This window comes from Homo sapiens, chromosome 4, assembly GCF_000001405.40.
Source record: "Homo sapiens chromosome 4, GRCh38.p14 Primary Assembly".
NCBI classification, from domain to species: domain Eukaryota; kingdom Metazoa; phylum Chordata; class Mammalia; order Primates; family Hominidae; genus Homo; species Homo sapiens.
This window is the reverse complement of record NC_000004.12, coordinates 88600276-88624138: the sequence shown is the minus strand read 5'-3', so window position 1 is coordinate 88624138 and position 23863 is coordinate 88600276. Positions and strand designations below refer to the sequence as shown.

The 23863-nt window shown below is 40.0% G+C and overlaps 1 protein-coding gene across 10 annotated transcripts in view, besides 1 other annotated feature; it reads right to left on the bottom strand.

Moving 5' to 3' along the window:
* HERC3 (HECT and RLD domain containing E3 ubiquitin protein ligase 3) overlaps positions 1–23863 on the bottom strand; it is a 184697-nt gene that overhangs the window by 84401 nt on the left and 76433 nt on the right. For 7 of the 10 annotated variants that reach the window (NM_001375483.1, NM_001375482.1, NM_001375479.1 and 4 more), the window contains one exon: positions 18090–18344. The exons of the other annotated variants lie outside the window; for them this stretch is intronic. In NM_001375483.1, the coding sequence (NP_001362412.1) occupies positions 18090–18315 (226 nt within the window). In that variant the 5' untranslated portion in view covers positions 18316–18344. The remainder of the gene's footprint in view (positions 1–18089; positions 18345–23863) is intronic. 10 annotated transcript variants of the gene reach the window in all.
* Positions 22338–23028: an enhancer, noted in NCBI's record as "NANOG hESC enhancer chr4:89522262-89522952 (GRCh37/hg19 assembly coordinates)". NCBI's record gives its function as "activates a minimal SCP1, AML or CMV promoter by ChIP-STARR-seq in naive and primed H9 embryonic stem cells {active_cell/tissue: H9 hESC(naive and primed)}" and the evidence as "EXISTENCE:reporter gene assay evidence [ECO:0000049][PMID:30033119]".

The following is a 23863-nucleotide window of genomic DNA, read 5'->3' as shown; positions in this document are numbered from 1 at the left end:
ACCACCCAGTAATAAAACACAAAAACCTACTGACATGTGCAACAATGTGGATCAACCTCAAGAGCATTATTCTAAGAAGCCAGACACAAAAGACTACATAATATGTGATTCCATTTATACAAAGTTCTAGATAAGTCAAAACTATAGTGACAAAAAAGCAGGGGGAACAAAACAGTTGGTGTGGATGTTAAATTGACATAAAGGGAAATGAGAAGTTTTGGGGGTGATGGAAATGCTATCATGATTGTGGTAGTGGTTACCTGATTCAATGACTGTCAAAACTCATTAAATTGTACATTTAAAATTGGTGACTCCTACTGCGTGTAAATTATCTAAATAAAGTTGATTTTAAAATAATAAAGCACATACACACCAAAAAATATATGCTTTATCATATACAAGATTCTTTATAAATACTAGGGGTGAAAAGATAAATAACATGTGGTTCTGCACCCATGCTCCCTTGACTGACGAGGAAAACAAGACATACGTACTGATGGTCAACGTTTATCACAATAGTGTAATAAAAGAAACATGCAGGTTTGAATGGTAGCCCACGTGAGGGACAACGAACCCAGACTGCGAGTGGGAGACAGAGAGAGTTAGGAAAGGCTTCTTGGAAGAGGTAATATCCAAGATGTGCCTTGAGTGATAATGAGCTATTCATTCATTCATCCAAAGTGACTCAAAGGCTATAACAGATGACAGATTTAAAAATTACAGTATAGTGAGGTAAACCCAGTAACAAAATTATGCATAGCACATTATGGGAGGACAGAGGATGAGTAATCAAACCAGCCTAAGTAGGCCCAAGGACAGCTTCCTAGAGGCAACGCCCAGAGTGGAATCTTTAAAGCAGTGATTCACAACAAAAAATGAGCATCAGAATCCCTTGCGAAACTTTTTCTGAACAAACATGACTGATGTGAGTCCATCCTAGCCACTTGCATCAAAAACTTCAGGACGACCAGAAATCTGAAGTTGCCCAGGTGAATCTGATGTTAAGTTTCATCATTACATAAGAAACTAGCTTATACATAGAGCACCCACTATATCAATAATAAGAATAATAGCCAGGACTTACTGACTGCTTTCTACATGCCAGGAACTGTTTTAAGAGCTTTATATGTTTTATCTCAATTAATCCTCGCAATAACCCTATGAGATAGGCACTCTTATCAACAGATCTGCATTTTTGTTTTTGTTTTTTTGTGATGGAGTCTCACTCTGTCACAAGGCTGGAGTGCAGTGACGCAATTTCAGCTCACTGCCATCTCTGCCTCCCGGGTTCAAGCAATTCTCCTGCCTCAGCCTCCCGAGTAGCTGGGATTACAGACACACACCACCACACCCAGCTAATTTTTGTATTTTTAGTAGAAATGGGGTTTCACCATGTTGGCCAGGATGGTCTCAAACTCCTGACCTTGTGATCCACCCACCTCTGCCTCCCAAAGTGCTGGGATTACAGGCGTGAGCCACCACACCCGGCCAAACAGATCTACATTTTAAAAAGATCTCTCGGGCCCTCATACACTTCTTGTGAGAATTTAAAATGGTGCAATCACTTTAGAGAACAATCTGAAGGTTCCTTCAAAGGCTAAACGCAGAGTTACCATATAACCCAACAATTCCACTTCTAGGTACATACCTAGGAGAAATGAAAACATGTGTCCACACAAAAAATTGTGTAAAAACGTTCACAGCAGCATTATTCATAACAGCCAAAAACCTAAAACCACCCAAATGTCTATCAACTGATAAAAGTATAAACAAAATGTGGTATATCCATACAATGGGATATTATTTGGGAATAAGAAAGAATTAAGTACTGATACATGCTACAACATGGATGGACCTGGAAAATGCTAAATTAAAGAAGCCAGTCACAGAAGACCACATATCGTATCATCTCATTTACATGAAATGTTCAAAATAAGCAAATCTATAGAAACAGAAAGTAGATTAATGGTTGTCCAGGGCTGAAGGGGAAAGGTAAGTGACTGCTAATGTGTATGGGTGGTTTCTTTTTGAAGAGATGAAAATGTTCTAAAATTGATTGTGGTGATGATTATACAACTCCGTGAATATACTAAAAACCATTGAATTGTACATGTTAAATGGGTAAATCATGTGGTATGCAAATTGTATCTCAATAACTGTTATTATAAAACAAAAATGTGTCACAGTGGAGGATGGGTCCAAACTTGAGTGCACAGGCTGTCATGGCCATGCAAGTACAACTATCTACTGCAGATATAGTCACATTGCTTCTAATTTCAGAATACTTACAGTTTTAGGGTTATAAAAGAAACTTTATACATATTTAGGTAAGGGAATTAACACACTGTAGGATGTCAATATTCAACATATTTGTGTCCCTAGCACCACTGGCATAATTCCAACCAATTTCACAAATCAGACAAACCTGCTGCAGTAATGCAGGCAGAATTTCTAGGGGTGACCTTTCTTTCTCCTCAGCTTCACATATGTAAGACATGCAGATCACTACAGGCCATCAAGCAAATGCCTGACAGCAAAAACTGTGTGATCCTGTCTAGAAATGAATTCCACATACCAGACATAGGAAGGAAAAATTAAAGGAAAATAATTCTATAAAATAGAGTTTGGGCTTGATTTTATTTGTAAAACAAACAAAAAAGATTCTATACTCCTTAATTAGAAAGTTTTTGTTTCACAATATAATCATTCATTTATCCAAAAAATACTTACTGAGGCCAGGCACGGTGGCTCACACCTGTAATCCCAGCATTTTGAGAGGCCAAGTGGGTTGATCACCTGAGGTCAGGAGTTTGAGACCAGCCTGGCCAACATGGCAAAACCCTGTCTCTACTAAAAGTACAAAAGTTAGCCAGGTATGGTGGCGGGCACCTGTAATCCCAGCTACTCAGGAGGCTGAGGCAGGAGAATCGCTTGAACCCAGGAGGTGGAGGTGGCAGTGAGCTAAGATCGTACCACTGCACTCCAGCTGGGTGACAGAGCGAGACTCCGACTCAAAAAAAAAACTTGCTGAAAGCTGCACTCACTATGTGCCACACAATGTTCTAGGTGTTGAGGATACAAAACAATGCCCTTATTCTCGTGGAGCTTAAACAAACAAAAGAGGTAAGAGAGGTATTGATTGTGACTGACTGAATAATATCAGATAGGGATAAATGCCCAAAGCAAGGAAGGGGGATACAGTGCTGGGAAGGGTAGGAAACACAGGGTAGTAAATGGAGGCATCTCTAATAAGGTGCCATGGGAGCAGAGACCTGAAGGAATAAAAGCATCAGGCATATAGGAACCAGAGGAACATAGGTCCTAGATAGTTCCCAAGTTACAGAATAGCAGGGTAAACACTCTGAGGAGGGACCAATGAAGCCAGAGGAACAGAGTATGCCAGGGAAGAGCCATAAGAGATGAGCTGAGAAAGCACTGGAAGATTTTGGGGAGAGGGATAATATGATTACTCTGTGGAGAGAGGGATTAAGGGAGGAAACAGGCACAACAATTAGAAATGACTGCAATGATCCAGGTGAGATATGATGGTAACTTGGACCAGAGAGGCAGGAAGAGGGGTAGAAGAGGTATGAGATCCTGAATATATATTCTCAAGACAGATCCTATGTAGATGGGGGTTTTCTTGAAAAATTAGATGTGGAATGTGAGAGAAGAAGACAAGACAAATCAGGGATGACTCCAAGGTTTTTGGCCTGAAGAATGGAAAGGCCATTTACAGAGATGAAGAAAACAGGGTAAGAAACAGGTTTAAGGGAGAAAAAACAGTGTTGCTTTGAATATGTTAGGTTTAAGGTAGCAATTACATATCCAAGTGGAGAATTTAAGTCAATATCAAGTCTGAAATTAAGTAGTTGAGGCTGAAGATAATTTGTGAGTCAACAGTATAAAGATGCTACTTAAAACTTTATCTTGTGACCCGTTATATTTATTCAACCTATTCCCTAGAGGATGAGTAAGCTATTTCTGTTATTTTGCCATTAACAGCATTGCTGCAATAAGCATACTTAGAAACATTTCCTTATGCTATATATTAACATTTTTATTTGCATAAGCTTCCTAAAAATGGAACTGTTCATTCAAAAGGTATGAACATTTTCAACTTTACTAAAACAGCCAGTTGACTGTATTACAAGATTTTAGCAGCTCACACCTGCTCAATCAGCACAACCCATTTTCCTACATGAGTGATCACTAGGTATTACTCTTTTAAAAATTTCTTGCCAATCAAATGGATGATGAAAAAGTGGAATCTCGTTTTCATTCCTATTTCCCTGAACATATTTGCATAAATTCACTGGCCATTTGCAAGCACTCCTTTGTAAAATGTCCATTTTATTACAGGATTGCTTATCTTTTTCTTATCAAATTAAAGGTACTCTAGCATATTAGAAATATGAAATCTTTGTCTGGCAACGTCTGGCAGTTATTTCTCCCAGTCTATCACTCACCTTTTGGCTTCGTTATGGGATGCCTTACGCCACAGGAAATTTTAAAATTTCATGCAAACCTACCAATCATTTCTCTTATGGCTTCAGGACCACGTTGAAACCCTCACGGTTGTAAACACATTCCCCTAATTTTTTTTCCTATTATTTTTATAGTTTTACTTTTTACATTCATGTCTTTCATACATCTGGAATTTACTTTAGAATATGGAGAGAGGTAGGGAGTCTAGTTCTGTATGCCAGGTGAACAGCCACTTATACCAACACCATTTATTAAGTAAAGCATCATTTCCCACTGAAATGCCCTGTTATCATATGCCTGACTGACCTGGGCAGCCATGCAGTCTTGACCAGAAATAAATTCTGCATGAAAGCCTGACTAAAAATAAGTCAAAGTGTCCTAGTACTTTATATAAATATGCAAATTACACAGAGCAGTGACATATAATATTCAGAGTCAAGAATGATCTAAGGGAAGAGGAACAACAGAAAACGTGAAAAGAATTCAAGACATGGCTCCTTCTTGGCCTGTGGCTCTACCTCGCCAGGATGACCAGCCACAGGAAGGAACACAGAGCAAACAAACTAAAAACAGAAAAGGATGAATAAATTCTGAAGTCTCTGGCTCCCTCCAGTCTTTTCTGTCATGCAATTTTATGGGTTAACTCCATCCACAGGCACTACAGCTCCCCTGGCTGGACACACAAGGTCAGTCTAAGAAGGTCTCCAGACACCTCTGTTTGGCTGGAACAGGTGTGGCCTGCCAAAGCTGATGGTTCATTTAAACTGAACAAACTTAAAAATAGTGTTAGTTGTTTTCTGACCCAAAATATCTAAATCAAGGCAGTTAAATGGTAATTCATAAAGTGGTTTAACAAAAGCGTGGCAGTAAGGAGATGAAACATGACTTTGTTTTGTTTTTCTTGAGTTCACAAAATGCTGAGGAAAAGGAATTCTGTGGGTACAGAGGTCCTGCCCAACCTTAGGTGGAATGTACTGGTACCTTCCTTCCACTCAACCTACGTCCAGTGATCTGGGGTAAGGGAAACATCTCTCTTTCCTCACCAGGCACTGACCCACCCCTTCCCACTCCTAATCACATTTTATCAGTTCAGAAATAAAAAAACCAGCTCTTTACAAATCCTTGACCAAAGATGAGTTCCACTCTATATGAAAGAGTAGCAAAGGCTTTATGACAAATTAGAAGGGTAGAGAAGAAAGGAGAAAGGTAGCTAGCCAATCTGAATTATACCCTCTGTGATCAGTGGAAAGCCTCTAATAGCCAGAATGACTATATGCCCATTCACCACTAATATCTCTACACTGCAAATACTAAAGGCATTCCCCATTGCTTTTCTACTTTAAAAGCTACCTTAGGGAGTCATGAAGAACAGAAAGATGAATAAAGCACAGGCTGGCACTCATAAAGACATTGCAATAAACTTCCAGTTTCTTATTCATGGCTAACCTGGTTTAATGTATCCCTATTACATAGCACCTCAAAGAAAATAAAAACATTCCATAATTAGTTCAGCCTTCTTCCCTCATCTGAAGGGAAAGGAGAACATGATTTGTGCCTCCTGGTGAGTTCAGCACAACTGTTATCTCCATTTTCCTATCGTTCCTTTCTCTCCAGCTTTTTCTCAACATCCTCGCTTCCAGCTCGTCCTGGAGGAGACCCAGCATTCACTGCCTGCCTGCTGCCTCCACTTCCTTGAGGGAAACCAGGGGACTTGCTGCCTAAGGGCATAATGGTCCCCACTTTTCTGCACTCCCTGTTTTTTTTTTCTTTTTTTTTCCTTTAGACGGAGTCTCGCTGTGTCGCCCAGGCTGGAGTACAGTGGTGCGATCTTGGCTCACTGCAAGCTCTGCCTCCCAGGTTCACGTCATTCTCCTGCCTCAGCCTCCCGAGTAGCTGGGAATACAGGTGCCCACCACCACGCCCTGCTAATTTTTTGTATCTTTAGTAAAGACGAGGTTTCACCGTGTTAGCCAGGATGGTCTCGATCTCCTGACCTCATGATCCACCTGCCTCAGCCTCCCAAAGTGCTGGGCTTACAGGCGTGAGCCACTGCACCCAGCCTCCCTATTTTGACTTTGTGCCCAAACAGCCTCTGTGTATAGGCAGAATGTAGAACTTGCTGTTTCAATCAGCACAATCTACTTAATTTCATCATGATCAGCACAGTTCATATAGTATGAGGCCAATTCCAAACCAATAAATTAAAGACTCCTTTAATGTGATAAACTAATCACAAATCTATTTGAAGTGGAAAATGTTGGGGATTTTGTTTGTTTTTGTTGTTGTTGTTGTTAAGGGCTCTCTGCAAGCTCTTATTAGTATGACTTTGAAAAGAAGAAAATGAGATAGAACCTTATAACCCTCTTCCTAGCAGTACCAACAACTCCCAAAAAGAGTCAACAGGCTGAGATGCTGTTGTGACTTGTCCTCAGAGAAGGTTCTCAATTTCTTTTTTTTTTTTTTTTTTTTTTTTTTGGAGACAGGGTCTTACTATATTGCACAGGCTGGCCTCAAACTCCTGGGAAGCTGGGCCTACAGGCATTTCAATAGTGAAGCGTACTAAAGGAGAAAAATATCATGAGAGAAAATAATACTTTCAACATAACAAGCCAATTCTGGCGCCCAAAAAAACATGGCATAGTGGCAAGGCTGACCCTGGCTGGTAAAGCACTTGGGGAATATATGCAGGCTTTAAATGAGGCCCAGAAAAATCTTACACCCACACTAGTAGGCTAGAGATTTGGCAGGAAGAATAAATCTCTGCATCACTACAAAATTCCACTCCAGAACAGAAAGATGGGAAACACATGAGGCAACTGTGCTACTGACTTAGCCTATCCTAGAAATACCTCTTCTCATGTGAGATGATAAATTTTACTCATTGTTCATGACACAGCTTAGCATTCTGTTGTTACTTGAAACTGCAAGCATAGCGACTAATACATTACCACTAAAACAAACAAACAAACAAACAAACAAAAACAGAGATCATGTAGGTTTAGACTCCAGAGTGAGCTCTTCTTAGGCAACTGAAGGATGCAGAAAGGAAAATCACTTGCATTCTTTCAGGTCATTTATCTCTCCATCCAAAGATTCACCCCCATCACAGCTAACTGGAAGTCTACAGTAACTGCCCAAAGATTTCAGCTGGGCTAGGAGCCAGTGGATTGCACTCTATTTACTAAGCCTATGACAAGATCATACTACCCAGCTAACTGGTGCCAAACCACTACAAGACTTTCAGGAGCACCATAAAGTAGTCCCTGGTGTACCACAGTGCCCACAGCGACCTAATTTGATTCCCTTATCTTTGCCATTTTGGATGAGAATGCTGGAAGTAATGGTAACAATTGCATAGAGAGAAGATGTATGTATGCATGTCCATATGTGGATAATCAGTTTTACAGTGTACCCAACATATGTAAGGTACTTTTCATGAGAACAATAAAGTAAAGAACTGCAAAAATTAACAATAAAGAAAATAGACTTATCCTTTAAAACCTAAAATAAAAATGAACATAATATAAACTCTCCCTTAACAACCCTAACTTATAACATCTTCCTCAGCTGAATGTCCATATCATTCATCAGATCCTGTAGTATTAAGGGAATCTATAAAAGTGACCAACACAATTTATAGATGTATATGTTTGTATACATCTAGAAACTGTATGTATTTGTCATGAATGTATTAATTTGTTAATATGCTGGAATAGCAGGATAAAAACAATTGTAATGAAAAGTGTCAACACAAATTACTACTACTGCTACTACAAATAATGATAATAGCTAGTACTTGCTTTGGCAGCATATACACTAAAATTGGAATGAAATAGAGATCAGCAATTATTTTTTCAAATTAAAAATAAGAATAAATAATAATAGCTAGTACTAATTGAGTGTTTACTATAAGCCAAGCATTATTCCAAGTATCTGATAGGCAATGTATTAAATCTTCACAACCCTAATAAGTAGACATTATTATCTACATTTACAACTAAGGAAACTAAGACATGTAGAGTTTAAGCAACTTTCTCCAAGTCACACAGCTAGTCCATGCTCTTATTCATTATACTGCCTCCATAATTAGCTAATACTCTAAATTAAAATTATTCACAATCATGATTTCAGTTGTTGCAAGTCAGTTAATAATTATAATAGAAATTTCAATGCATATTTTAATAATAAGTGAAAAAATGATGGAAAGTCTACAAGGATATGAGACCATACATCTGTTAGAGGGTTATCAAAGATTTCAACATTACATGCTATCACAAATGGCATTCACTCAAAAAGACATACAAAGAATTCCAGTAGCCCTTGAAGAGATGTAAAATATCAGCTGACCAGATATACCCCATTCAGGCTGATAAACTACAACATTCTACCTACCCCAGATCTATAAAGATCATAGATCACCAACCTAGATGAAATCATCAAAATTGCCAAACTAAAAAATTGCTATTGTAACACAAAAATTCAGAATTAAAGGGTGGATTTACAAAAATCGCTGAACATCCCTAGAATCCTGAAACCATCTCCAAAGCTGCCCCTTCTCCAAAATGTTACAATTCGCTCCTCCAACAAGCTCACAAACTTAAGATAAATGTGAACCTTATAATGTGTGTAGGTATAGAAGATGACATTTGTTAGAATTCAGAATTCAGTACTGTTGGTGACCTATCTCTTCACTGCAGGACACTTATTTTGACACACATAGGACCTGTATCACCTGTTTGACACCTGCTGAACTGCAGGATATAACCTTTTTGGGTATATCTTATATTCTCACCTGGTCTATAAATGCCCAAAGGGTGGGATCTGCACTAATTTGTTGTGTTGTAAGAGTATTTAAAACAAATGAGGAATCTAGAAGTTTAGTCACTCAGTAAATGTCTGCTGAATCAGTGACTGAATAAGAAGTAAATAATTCAAGAAAATAAAAAAACAAAGAACAAGAGGCAAATAGCAAGACAAAATACATCAGCCTGAAATATGAATTATCATGTGTGCTTTTTATTTGGTGCTCAAAAGAGCTTAAAAAGGCAGCTGACAAACAGTAGTCTAATGGGTTTCAAGATAAAAAGGGAATTGTTTCTTAGTACCTTTTACCAAAGTACCTTGATCATATTTGTATTTAAACAATAAATTAAGGAATACAAGCTTCTGGGTGGGCAAGTTTATATCTTTTTTGTTTCTTTAATAAGTACTGAGTGGAAATTAAATGTAAACAAGTTTGACAATAAAATCTTATCAGCCATTCTCAATCAGCCTGAGGTTACAAAAATGTCTGTGAACAAAATTCTAGGATTATTAAACCCAAACTGTCAGTACCTAAGCAAGACTCAAACTCAACTCCCTTTTCTTTCCTCCTTTACATATACCTTGGATAATAATACTGACCTACTTTACAAAGCTATCATGAGGATTAATCAGCTTAAAAATGCTAAGCATATCAGAAATAAAGAGAGCTTATATATGTATCATTAACCACTTTTATAATTAACAAATTAACTAAAATTCTTGTTTCACGAAGCAAACCATTTTGTTAATTACTTAAAAGTAATACTGCAGGTTTTTAAAAGTCACAAATACCTCACACTAACAAGTATGCTCATTAATAAGTACACATTTTCTAAAACACTCAAGTATCTTTATAGAATGTAGGCTGAGTATCAGACAGAAAAAAAATTCCGATCAATTATCCCACAATAAAATTATTAAATGACAGTTTCTCCTGATCCTTAGACCTCTGAACCAGAAAGTCATCTACCTAGCTATCAAAGGAGGCAAGACATCCTACTAGTTTTGATTATAACCATTATCACCAAAATCAGAAAGGGGTGCACAGCCTCCTGAACCACCTGCCATTCCTAATAAGGAACAGATGGGGCCCTAACAAGTGCAATGTTGAGATCTGAACACTTCCTATGGCACATTCTGCCTTTTATATCAGCGTTATGCCCATAGAAACACGCACTTCAATAACAGGAAGTCATTACAGGGTCCCTTCTATTTCCTTTCAGCTCAGCTGGTTTGCTTTTCAGCAAGAGCTGATTAACATGACAGAGTTATTGCGCCCTTCAGATGCCCGAGAGCAACCTGAGAAGCTGGTTGAAAGCATTACTTCTACCATGGTTAGAAGCAAGCACAGTTTGGGAATTGAAGCTTTTGGACGTTCTGCTTTATAAACCTCATTTATCAAACAGCAGGAAAGCTGTTACATATGGTGATGGGCATTAGGGAAATGCTTAGACTGAATACAAAGTGCGAATGTGAATTGGATTAAATTACCTGCAAGAGGGAAACTAACTCAGGAGAAAGTAAAAGGAACCAATCACAGAGATGAATCAAATAGAGTTGCACAGAAATGTTAGAGCTTGCTTATAAATTGTTACCCTTGGGCTCTGCTATAAGAAGATTTCCTGGTATGTCTACAGAGAATTTTAAAATTTAGCAGAGTCAAATTAGATTACACTAAATAACTGCCCCTACCACGGTTCTTGTCTATTCAAGATAGGGAGAAAGATTAGAAGACACTTATGTAAGTTCAGATATCCCTAATAACACAGAGATTAGCTTACCCTAAAATCCCAATATTAGAAATCAGAGTATGTATGAGGAAAGGAGAACTATTCATTTAGCTGAAGAGTACTGTTTACAATGTGGCTAGGTAGGAATATGAGAGGCATGGTAAATTAAGGTATTTATTGAATCCTTTCTATGGACAACCAGTCTCTAGTTTAATAAAAGAGCTCAAGATTTACTTAATGTCCACTTAGTCACTTATAAAAAATAACATTCAGGAAAAAAAAGCTTATGTTTTGTTTGCTTGCTTTATTAAAAAAAAAGTGGGGAAGGCACACAAGACTTCCTAAAATGCCAGCTCTGTAACTTTATGTCTTAGAAAATTATAAAATAAATTCATGGACAAAAACCATAAGGAAATTAGTAATAACCCTATGATGACTCCAATCACAAAAACTCTGTCTGCTTTGTCGGGGAGGGATGAGGTATATGTCTGAATGCAAAGGTGAGAATGAAGGAGAGAAAAGTCATGTGAGAGAGGAATGTGCAAAAGACTTATAATCCAATACTTTTTTTTAAAGCTGGAAATTGAGTTTAGATGGGGCTTAATATACTACATCTGAAAAATGCTTCTGGGAATCACAGGCCTCTATGCCCTTGGCCAAATCACAAATGAGTCATGGACACACCTAAGCTAGAACTCTGTGTGCTGCCTGACACACTGGGAAAATATCTGGGGCCTGAATAACCAGGAGTTTCAGAATTTGATGTATCTTTGAAATGCCTCCTTCTTACCACACACACACACACACACACACACACACACACACACAGTTGGTCACATAAGGGTATTGCTAATGTGAGAAGTACAGAAATGAGAGTACAAAGAAACCACAGTAGTCTCAGGGTCAGCAACAGCAATAGTTAACTGTTACATATTCTTAAGAAGGAAAAAAAGGATCTCCAAAACCCTTAGAATCACTGAGAGGTGCTTTATATCACTGCTCTGGCACATCTACAGAATGCATCCCAAAAAAATGAATTGATGTGCCTTGCAGCTGAACCAGTTAGAGACAGAGTGTATAACATGGTATATGATGACTAGCAGGACAGAATCAAGGCACACATTAGAAGACTTGTCCAGGTGCATCTCCTACACCAGTACCTTCTTTCAACTTTCCTTCCCCTCAGGAAGGTCAGATTATGTGGCTCCCAGGGTTGTTTGCATTTTAACAGGAAACAAAGTTTCAAGGCAATGAAATAAATTCTCCTCCAGACTAGTGCTAGATGACCATACCCATGCTGGTGGACACCCTGCTAGGACTAGAAATATTAACAAGTCCAATCAGCAAAGTAAGTGTTGATGGTCAGGCATTACTCCATTCACAGCCAGTACTGCAAAGCAAGAAAAAGAAACTTAAGTTTGCCACTTGGGTTCAAAACTCTGTAAGCCACTTGGAGTTGGCCACCATGGAATTAACTCCTTCAACTCACTTCTTCACACTCTCAAAGCCTTAGAGGAACAGTCATACACTCACTTTTTAAAATCCTTCATATTTCAAAGTCAACCAATCTGGGCAATGATACCAAGCTGAAATCACAGACCTGCCCATAACCCCCAGAAAAATCCTCTTTTAAGGAAGGGGCCTTCCATCATGTTCCCTTCCCAAATACCACAGAAGCTACTTGGGGGTAGCATTCCTGTGGGCCAAGACCAACAGATACCTGTAACAAACTAGGCCTGCCACAGACTTCCCTTCCATGTCTAGCAGCTCTCCAGGTCATGGTTCTCAATAAGCAAACACAGAAAACAAGTTCATTCTCTTCTTCCCACTCATTAAAAACAAACGCAAATCATATCCAGATTTAGAACACACCTACCAACGAAAAAGTTAAATGGAGAGAGGGAGGCACCCACCCACATAATCTTTCCATTCAAAGAGGCATTATTCCAAGCTGCTATGGAGTTTATAATTAACAGACAAGCTTAACCAACAACAGAAATTTCTGGAATCTCTTGTAATTTACACTACAGCCTGCCTTATTCCAAATTTAGATCACAAGCATGGGCTGGATTCCGAGGCTGAATCCCAAAGCCTTCTTGGCACACCTCTAGCTTGGGATTCTTGCAGTCACTCAGCCCTGTGGGGAGGGCGTCTGCAGGATGACTGAGGGCCAGCTGACCCAGTATGCAGACAGACGCAGTGCGGCTGCTTTGCCAGAGCTCACTCACATCCAGAGGCCCAGCAACACCTACCATTAGCTCCTTGGAGCTGCATCAGGAGGCTGTGCTAGAGAAATGTCTCGTTGCACTCAGATGTATTCATTATGATGCCTTCTACAGATCTTTGCTATCATTGTTCTGCGAGGTTTTTGCTTCCTTTCCCAGCTGCTACCCCAGGGTGAATCCTCTCCCCCAAGTTCCAAGACCAAGGTGTGCACTGAGGCATATCTGAGCAACTGACTCTGCAGTGAGGCTGCCTGATAGAAGACCAAGCCACAGAGAAGACAGACAAGGAGGGTGGGAAGAGGGTGGCCATCACTGGCTACCGTCAGAGGCGTGTGAACCAGAGCAACTCCATCTTAAACAAGAGCTGGGTAAAATGAGACTGAAACCTACTAGGCTGTATTCCCAGACGGGTAAGGCGTTCTTTTTTTTTTTTTTTTTTGAGACGGAGTCTCGCTCTGTCCCCCAGGCTGGAGTGCCAGTGGCGTGATCTCGGCTCACTGCAACCTCTGCCTCCCGGGTTCAAGCAATTCTCCTCCCTTAGCCTCCTGAGTAACTGGGATTACAGGCACGCGCCACCATGCCCGGCTAATTTTTGTATTTTTAGTACAGATGGGGTTTCACCATGTTGGTCAGGCTGGTCTCGGACTCCTGACCTCGTTATCCACCCAGCTCGGCTTCCCAATGTGCGGGGATTACAGGCGTGAGCCACTGCACCTGGCCCAGGTAAGGCATTCTAAGTCACAGGATGAGACAGGAAGTCAACAAAAAATACAGGTCATAAAGACTTTGCTGATAAAACAGGTTACAGTAAAGGGGCCAGCCAAAACCCACTAAAACCAAAATGGCCACGAGAGTGAGCTCTGGTTGTCCTCACTGCTACACTCCCACCAGCGCCATGACAGTTTACAAACGCCATGGCAACGGCAGGAAGTTACCCTACATGGTCTAAAAAGGGGAGGCATGAATAATCCACACCTTGTTTAGCATATCATCAAGAAATAACCATAAAAATATGCAATCAGCAGACTTCAGGGCTCTGTCTATGGAGTAGCCATTCTTTCATTCCTTTACTTTCTTAATAAATTTGTTTTCATTTTGTACCACGGACTTGCCCTGAATTCTTTCTTGAGAGAGCCAAGAACCCTCTCTTGGGGTCTGGATCGGGACCCCTTTCCTGTAACATATTTCTCTGTCTGTAACACTACCAGCAGTTTTGTGGTGTCTTCTTTATCATGTGAATCCCCTTCACCAAGAACTATCTGATTAGAACAGGAAGTCTACTCCTTTTACAGGAAAGGGAACTGTGACTCAGAAATAGGAAGAAACTTGCCCAGGGACAGGCAATTATTTCCTGGTAGATAAAAAACTAGATCCCAGTTCTCAAACTCCCAGCTTAGGCTTCTTTCCCTGTAACTCCAGAGACAGTATCAGCCTTTACACGGGATGGTGAAACTGCACGGTAGCATAATTTCTGAGGCATGATATAAAACTGCCAGACACTGCATTCAATATTTACACAGATTACTCTACCTATGAAAGAGTATTATAATCCCCATTTTTATTTATTTATTTATTTTGGGGTTTTTTGTTGTTGTTGTTTGTTTTGTTTTGAGACAGAGTCTTGCTCTGTTGCCCAGGCTGGAGTGCAATGATGCAATCACAGCTCACCACAGTTTTGATCTCCAGGGCTCAAGTGACCTTCCAACCTCAACCTCCCAAGTAGCAGGAACAACAGGTACACACCACCATGCCCAGCTAATTTTTTTTTTTTTTTTTTTTTGCATCTGTATGTTGCCCAGGCTGGTCCCCAACTCCTTGGCAAGCAATCCTCTGGCCTTGGCCTCCCAAAGTGATGGGATTACAGGTGTGTGCCACCACACCTAGACTATAATCCTCATTTTAGATTAGAGATGTAATGCCTCCATTAGTTTTATCTGATTCCAAACTTCACCATAACCTTGCTGTCTCCATGGGAGGACTAGAAAGATCTCTTCCCAGTTCCCAAAATACTCCCTTCAAAGGCTGGCTAGAGTTGTACAAGTCCTTCAAAGATCATTGGAATGAAGTTCCTAAATCCTGGCTGAATGTAGACTGTTGGGCCATGACCCTCCAAATGCATTACTTGTTAGACACTGGCTCTGGCCTAGGGAAACAGAGGGCACATTTAGGAGCTTAATGTGAGACACAAGTGAGTTTTAACAGGAGGAAAAGAAAGAAGACTTGGTTTTTAATCTGTTCCAGTATGAAGACCATTTGAAAAAGTCAATCTTCTTCCTGCCACCTCCATGGTAGTTGTATATGATACCTTTGTATTCTATTAATTGGTAAAATACATAATAAATAGGATTTACTAATTTCTGAATTAGTGGCATTTTCAACTGAATTTTCATTTTAGTAAACAACAGAATAATTTGAAAACCTATAGTATTGAGTGCACTGTACATGGAATGGTGTTCATCTGTAGATGACTCTACAAACCCCTTCCTTGAAATCCCAAGATTTCAGGGTCCTCAGGTTAAGAAACCCCTGACTAGAACATGGGGTACTGCCCCCAGATGAGTAGGCCTGGTGCATTTCTCACAGCGGGCTTCCTGAAGGAACCTGGTGGCAAAGAATGAGGAATTGGAAGCTCATCAACCACACTTCACATCCTTCACAATTGTGCCTAAGCCCTGCAGCCCTCTTTCCAATGGGCAACATAAAAATTAACGATTATAAATTTACACTGACATTTTGGGCAGGGAAACTACGGAACATGGTCACTTACTATGGAAGGGAATAATAAACGTGAGAGAAGAGGGAGACAGTGTCACAGAAAAAATTTAATTCGTATTGATGCCAAATAAAATGATAAAATCATCTAGAAAAAACTGTAAGGTTATTCTTTAATGAAGCTTCAGTGTCTGGAATGATCTGTATTGAATGAAAAGAATGGCAGGTAACAAAAAAAGGGGCAAACACCTATGCTAGTGTGACAAATATGTGGTCACAATTTAAGACCCTACCTTAAAATTTCTCACCAAAAGAAGATTCATTTACACATCCTCACTACTAAGAGGACCTTATAAATCCATGCTACACATATACTGAAAGTCAAACTTAGATTCTTTAAAAGTAAAAATAGGGCCAGGAACAGTGGTTCGCACCTGTAATGCCAGCACTTTGGGAGGCCAAGGCAGGCAGATTGCTTGAGCTCAAGAGTTTGAGACCAGCCTGGACAACATGGCAAAACTCCGTCTCTACTAAAACAAAAATTAAAAAATTAGCAGGTGTATTGGCACATGCCTGTAGTTGTAGCTACTCAGGAGACTGAGACTGAGAGGATATCTGCAGCCTGGGAGGCGGAGGTTGCGGTGACTCAAGATGGCACCACTGCACTCCAGCCTGGGCGACAGAGCCAGATCCTGTCTCAAAAAAAAATGTAAAAATAGGTGGAAAAAAATAAAATCAACAAGCTTAAAATATGTGTAGCACCTGTTATAAATCAATTAAAAGCACTGAAATTTAAGGAAACGAATTAGTCCCCCTACCTTTCCAGCTTATCCTCTTCCATCACCCTCTCTTCCCAGTCTCACCACACTATTCAACATGCCTTGAACAAGTATTGCACCTTTATATTCACATCACTGGGTATCAGGTGTGCAATAAGCTTAGTGATGCTGCCACATTCATTCATACACCCAAGTGCACATGCATACACACACACACACACACACACACCAAAGTGCTACTCAACACCCAAAGGCAGAACCAATCTCCCCTCCCCTACACCTCTGGTGTACTCTTCAACTTACATAACACAGACTTGCATGACAGCATTTGCCATAAGGATCACTGCAGCCACATCATCACCATATCTCATTCATCCCTCCACTCATAACAGCAATCGCATTGCTTAGCACAAAACATGTAAGAGCATGTTGCAGAAACAAAGGAATGAATATAGGTAATCAGGAAGTAAAGTTTCTGATAGTGATTGTGTGAGGATTACCTATTCAAAAAACTGTCATATTTCTCAGCATTAAATTACTGGATGATATGATTTGGCTGTGTCCCCACCCAAATCTCATCTTGAATTCCCACATGTTATGGGAGGGATCCAGTGGGAGGTAAATGAATTATGGGGGCAGGTCTTTCCTGTGCTGTTCTCATAATAGTGAATGAGTCTTAAGAGATCTGATGGTTTTAAAAATGGGAGTCTCCCTGCACAAGCTCTCTTCTCTTGTCTGCCGCCATGTGAAACATGCCTTTCACCTTCTGCCATGATTGTGAGGCCTCCCCAGCCACGTGGAACTGTAAACCCAATAAACCTCTTTCTTTTCTAAACTGCCCAGTCTTGGGTATGTCTTATCAGCAGTGTGAAAACCGACTAATACAACGGGCAAAATCTATTTTATTCTAACTCTGAACTAACTAGTCACCTCCCCTCCCCAGGTAACTGATATTACATATGTTCTCTAAGAAGATAAAAAATAAAAAGTCTTGTGGTGGCGCATGTCTGTAATCCCAGCTAGTCAGGTGGCTGAGGCATGAAAATTGCCTGAACCTGGGAGGTGGAGGTTGCAGTGAGCCAAGATCTCACCACTGCACTCAAGCCTGGGCGACGGAGCGAGACCATATCTCAAAAAAAAAAAAAAAAGAAAAGAAAAGAAAAGTCTGCTTTTCCATCAAAAGGCTTGAATTAGACACAAGGGTTCCAAACAGGAAGGAATCCCTGCACCGTTCAAAAGAGCCTCCCTGAAAACCGAACACTTGGTGGAGAAAGCTCCATCTGGGCCCTCTGCCATTGTGTCCTCCAACTTTCCATTCTCACCAATAATCAAGACAGATAAGGTGCACTTACCTGGCTTGTTTCCTTCCCTCTCATGGCCCAGTTGCCCCTTGGTGTTCAAACCACATGTGTAAACTTCCCCATCTTCCAGCAGGAACACAGAGTGGTTTCCCCCACAGGCCACTTCCTTGACACTTCTGTCAGATATGAACCCACACACCTGGGGCTCAGCCACAATTCCCTGCAGGTTGGTGCTGATACCAGGTTGGCCCAGAGACCAATATCCCCAACATAACATTGTTCTTATCTTTCAGGGAATCATGTAGCCTAGGAGAGAGTTTAAAAAAATTATTTTTTAATTAAAAAGAAATAGGTCATAGAAAATCAAGTAATGAATGTAACCAATTTTAAAAATAACCCTCCCCTTAATATTCTTCAGATATCTTACAACTCAAAATAAAACATATTAATACTGTTGAAAGCAGTTATGTTATAATGATGCTATTTTGTATTTTAATCAGAGTTTAAAAAAGAAGTTTAAATAAATTGTGTTTGTTTAAATGAATGAGTAAACAGACAGAATATGGTTTTCAGATCACTGCTAAAGGATACTGAGTACAGGAGATGGGCTGAAACAATCTTGGCAAACCATTAAGTTAGTAACAGTTTTGAAATTACTCTCAAGACTTCACCTTATCCTTTCTCAATGCATCATTCCTTTGAATTTTCTGCTTATTTAATGTTTTAAAAAATTTTGAACCAATTAACTCCTTTAGGTACCCTAATATTAGATTGGTTAGTAGTATTTCACCACTTGAAGTGAAGATGAGAAATAGAAAAAAAAAATGTTATCTTCTCTGCCATTCCCTTTTACCCTTGGTTCCAGATTTGAGTCAAGCCTCACTTCCTACTTGAGAGACTCTGGGATTGTTGCAGCGACAAGTCAGCCTGCATCCCTCTGACATGTCTACTATACTGCCTAACTGGTAGCTTTCTCTTTATATCTTTATAACTTAACTCCCCAAACAGATTTTAATCTCCTTCAACAGAGACCACAGTATAACACAGACCTCTTCTATTTAGCAGGTAATCAACTTTTGCCTGATTACTGACCCTAGCCTAAAGTTTCATTACCTTTTAACAATTCATGTTTCCCTTTCATACAAACAAAAAAAAATCTCATCTCTCGCTACCAATTCACACCACAATGATGGCCAGGTAACAACAAGTGTTGGTGATAATGTGGGGCTATTAGAACCATACTACATTGGCTTATAAAAATGTCTGGCAGTTCCTGAAAAGACTAAACATAGAGATACCATGTGATCCAGCAATTTCACTACTAGTTATAAACCCAAGAGAACTGCAAGACTACGTCCACACAAAAACTTATAAAGGAATGTTCACAACAGCATTATACATATTGAAAGGAAATAACCAAAATGTCCATCAACTGATGAATGGTTAAATAAAACATGGTATATCTATACAATGGGATATTATTTGGCTGCAATATGGATGAACGGTAAATATATTATGCTAAGTAAAAGAATCCAGTCACAAAAGTCCACAAATTATATGATTCCGTTTACATGAAATGTATAGAACAGGCAATAGAAAATAGACTAGAAAATAGACTAGTGTCTGCCTAGGACTGGAGGGAAAGAGGAGAATGGAGAGTGACTGTACCTGCCCTTTTGGAAAGTGGTAAAATGTTCTAAATTTAGGTTGTGGTGATGGTTTTAAAACATGGTAAATATACTAAAAACCCCTAAATTTTATACTTTAAATAGGTAAATTTTAGGCCAGGCGTAGTGGCTCATGCCTGTAATCCCAGCACTTTGGGAGGTCAAGGCGGGCGGACCACCTGAGGTCGGGAGTTCCACACCAGCCTGACCAACATGGGGAGACCCCATCTCTACTAAAAATACAAAATCAGCCAGGCGCGGTGGCGCATGCCTGTAATCCAGCTACTCGGGAGGCTGAGGTAGGAGAATCGCTTGAATCCGGGAGGCAGAGGTTGCAGTGAGCTGAGGTCACGCCATTGCACTCCAGCTTGGGCAATAAGAGCAAAATTCAGTATCAAAAAAAAAAAAAAGTAAATTTTATGGTATGTGAATTATATCTCAGTAAAGATTTTTTAATTGTCTTTAAATTTCCTTTCTCTTGCTACATGTCTACTGCCTCTGCAGGTCCACATCAGCCAACAAGGCTTTCTTGAGTTTAATTGTGAGAATTGTTATTACCAACATAATAGGCACAAAAGTATTTTTTCTACAACAGAAAGGAGGAGGGAACAACCCCTAGAGTTTAATATGGGAAAGGTATCAATTATTTCAATATATTATTTTTGCTTACAAAGACATAAGAGGGGAAGCTTTATCTAATGCTTTGATCAGAAATGAAATATTATAACTTCAAAAGTTCTGACTATTGATAAAGTTGGAAATCTTAAGTGGGTGGATCTTCTGTCAAGGAAAATACCCCATGCACCTCTCTGGTTTTGAAAGAAAGGTCCAAGATTTAGAGACGAAAGGAGACGGGGGAAATCCCAAGCATGCCTTATAAAACAGTAGATGCTCCTATTTAAGATAGCAAATTAAGAGAGAGCGATTGGCCGGGCATGGTGGCTCACACCTGTAATCCCAGCACTTTGGGAGGCTGAGGCAGATGGATCACCTGAGGAAGGAGTTCGAGACCAGCCTGACCAACATGGTGAAACCGCATCTCTACTAAAAATACAAAAATTAGTGGGGCGTGGTGGCGGGTGCCCATAATCCCAGCTACTCGGGAGGCTGAGGCACAAGAATCGCTTGAACCCAGGAGGCAGAGGTTGCAGTGAGCCAAGATGGCGCCACTGCACTCCAGCCTGGGCAACAAGAGCAAAACTCCACCTCAAAAAAAAAAAAAAAAAAAAGAGAAAGCGATTGAAGCCTGTAATATGGCTGCAAGTTTGGAACCTGGCCAGTAAACAGTAGATTCTCCGTGGCAGAGAACAGCAGATGAATTTTGAGAACAGTGGTGTCTAACACTCAAGTTTGAACTTGTTGCCTGTTCTGTAACTACTTTTGAGAATCCCAAACCTTCTATCAAAGTTAAGACACAACACCCTTACAATAACTGTATTTTGCCAAGCATGAATAAAAAGAACCTTGAAAATAAGCCCTCAGAGCCCCTCCTGAAGACTGACAACTGAGCAAGAGTTTTGGATGAGGCATGATAAGAGAACCTAAACATTCTTCTTCCCTTCGGAAATTCTTAGAAATTTGAGAAAGACGCTAAATCTCTAATCAGCATCGCCTTGGGTTTGAATCACTTTATCTGGATATGAAAGAAAACAGTGACCAGGCACAGTGGCTCACACCTGTGATCCTAACACTTTGGGAGGCCAAGGTGAGAGGACAGCTTAAGCCCAGGAGTTTGAGACCAGCCTGGGCAACACAGTGAGACCTTATCTCCACAAAAAATAAAATAAAATCAGCCAAGTGTGGTAGGACACACCTGTAGTCCCAGCTACTTGGGGTGCTGGGGTGAGAGGATCGTTTGAGCCTAGGAGGTCAAGGTTTCAGTGAGCTGTGATCGCACTGCTGCACTCCAGCCTGGGTAATAGAGCGAGACCCATCTTAAAAACAAACAAGCAATGCAGAAGATTGGTCTTAAGGACATTCAGATTACATTTCAGTTTCCAAACATACTTTTTTTTTTTTTTTTTTTTTTTTGGAGACCAAGTCTCGCTCTGTCTCCCAGGCTGGAGTGCAGTGGCGCAATCTCAGCTCACTGCAACCTACGCCTCACAGGTTCAAGTAATTCTCCTGCCTCAGTCTCTCAAGTAGCTGGGATTACAGGCGTGTGCCACCACACCCCACTATTTTTTTGGTATTTTAGTAGAGACAGGGTTTCGCCATGTTGGGCAGGCTGGTCTTGAACTCCTGACCTCAAGTAATTAGCCCGCCTTGGCCTCCCAAAGTGCTTGGATCACAGGTGTGAGCCACGGAGCCCAGCCGGTTTCCAAATATACATTTTAATTATAATTCTGAATATCCTTTTCTTTTTTTTTTTTTTTTTTGAGACGGAGTCTCGCTCTGTCGCCCAGGCTGGAGTGCAGTGGCGGGATCTCGGCTCACTGCAAGCTCCGCCTCCCGGGTTCACGCCATTCTCCTGCCTCAGCCTCCCAAGTAGCTGGGACTACAGGCGCCCGCCACTACGCCCGGCTAATTTTTTGTATTTTTAGTAGAGACGGGGTTTCACCGTTTTAGCCGGGATGGTCTCGATCTCCTGACCTCGTGATCCGCCCGCCTCGGCCTCCCAAAGTGCTGGGATTACAGGCGTAAGCCACCGCGCCCGGCCCCTGAATATCCTTTTCTAATCATACTTCTTAAACATGCTAGTCTCTCCATATTAAGAATCACTGTTCTAGGTCCTACAGGTCAAAATATCAGGATTTCAAGACAAGATTGCAGACTTCAAAGGTGTCTTCCCTAATCTTTTCATTGGTACATTCATTTCATCCTAATGAAAAGAGGATGGATTCTAACAGAAATGGTGAAGACTTACTTTGAATTATAATACTAGGCGAACACATCAAAGCTGAATATATCAGCCAATCTACAGGAGAGAACTGTCAACATATGAAGGAGACAGCTAATTGGCTCTTCTATGCAAAGTCAGCTTTTAAAATGACAAACTCTTTTCTCCCAAGATAAAAGCATGCCCAAATGGCTACAAATTAAAGATTACAACACAGAGGAAGCTCGTACTTTCAACCTCTCTTGACAACAATTACAGTACTTTGGATTTAACTCAATGGCCTTAATTGGTATATACCAATTTTAAAACTGCCTTATTGTAATCCTGAGGTATGCTTTGAACTCTTGAGGCTTTCAGGAAAGGCATGAAAAGGCCCAAAATAAAATATAAAACTGAATCTCAATTTGCTGTCTTACACAGAAAGTTCTGCTTCTTCCCAAGATTTTTATTCCTTGTCTAGACTCTACACTAAAAAAGTATTAAGATTAAATGTTATTCTTTGAATTAACTACAAATATTGTGGAGAGGGAAGTAGAAATAAAATGAAAAACTGGCAGGGTAGTGGTGGTGGTGGTTGGTGGTCTAATGATACACTAATAGACCAGCAAGCTCACATAATCTAGAAATAATTTATTTTTCCCAACTTGCTCAATTGCTATTATCCACATTAATGGATTTTTTCGTTTTTAGTATTTCATAAATTTGTCTTATCTCTCCTACCTTCTAGTGTTCTTAGGTGCAAGAAGGTTGTGATGTGCCTTACAGAGAAAAAAATGTGTATTAGGTAAGTTTCTTTCATGCATGAGTTATAGTGTTGGCTGTGAGTTCAATGTTAATGAATCAACAAGCGGGTACATCCAAAATATGGAACAGGAAATCTGCTGATCTGTATGTGAGGCCTCCCCTGGAGAGAGCTAAAGTAATATCCAGAGTACATAATGAAGCTATAGATACAATGGAAAAGCAATTAAATCTGTGGATTCATGAGATGACAACCCATAAAAAATAAAAATCACAGTGGATAGCACTGATGTGAGGCTGAAAGCCAAAAACACTGTCACATTACACAGGGTCAAGAAAATGTTAAACCCTTCTCAACTAGTGTTTTATTACCAAGAAATATTGTGTATATTAGTAAGAAATATATATTAAATAGGCTGTCTAGACAGAAACACACATAAAAAAAGGTTATGCGTCAGCTGGCTGATAAAAATCTCTTGACCACAGCCTACAAGAACCTAATCCTGTATTTCCTCAGAAACAATGGCTCTGTATTCACTAATATGGTATTCACCATGACTTTACAGAACCTAACTATA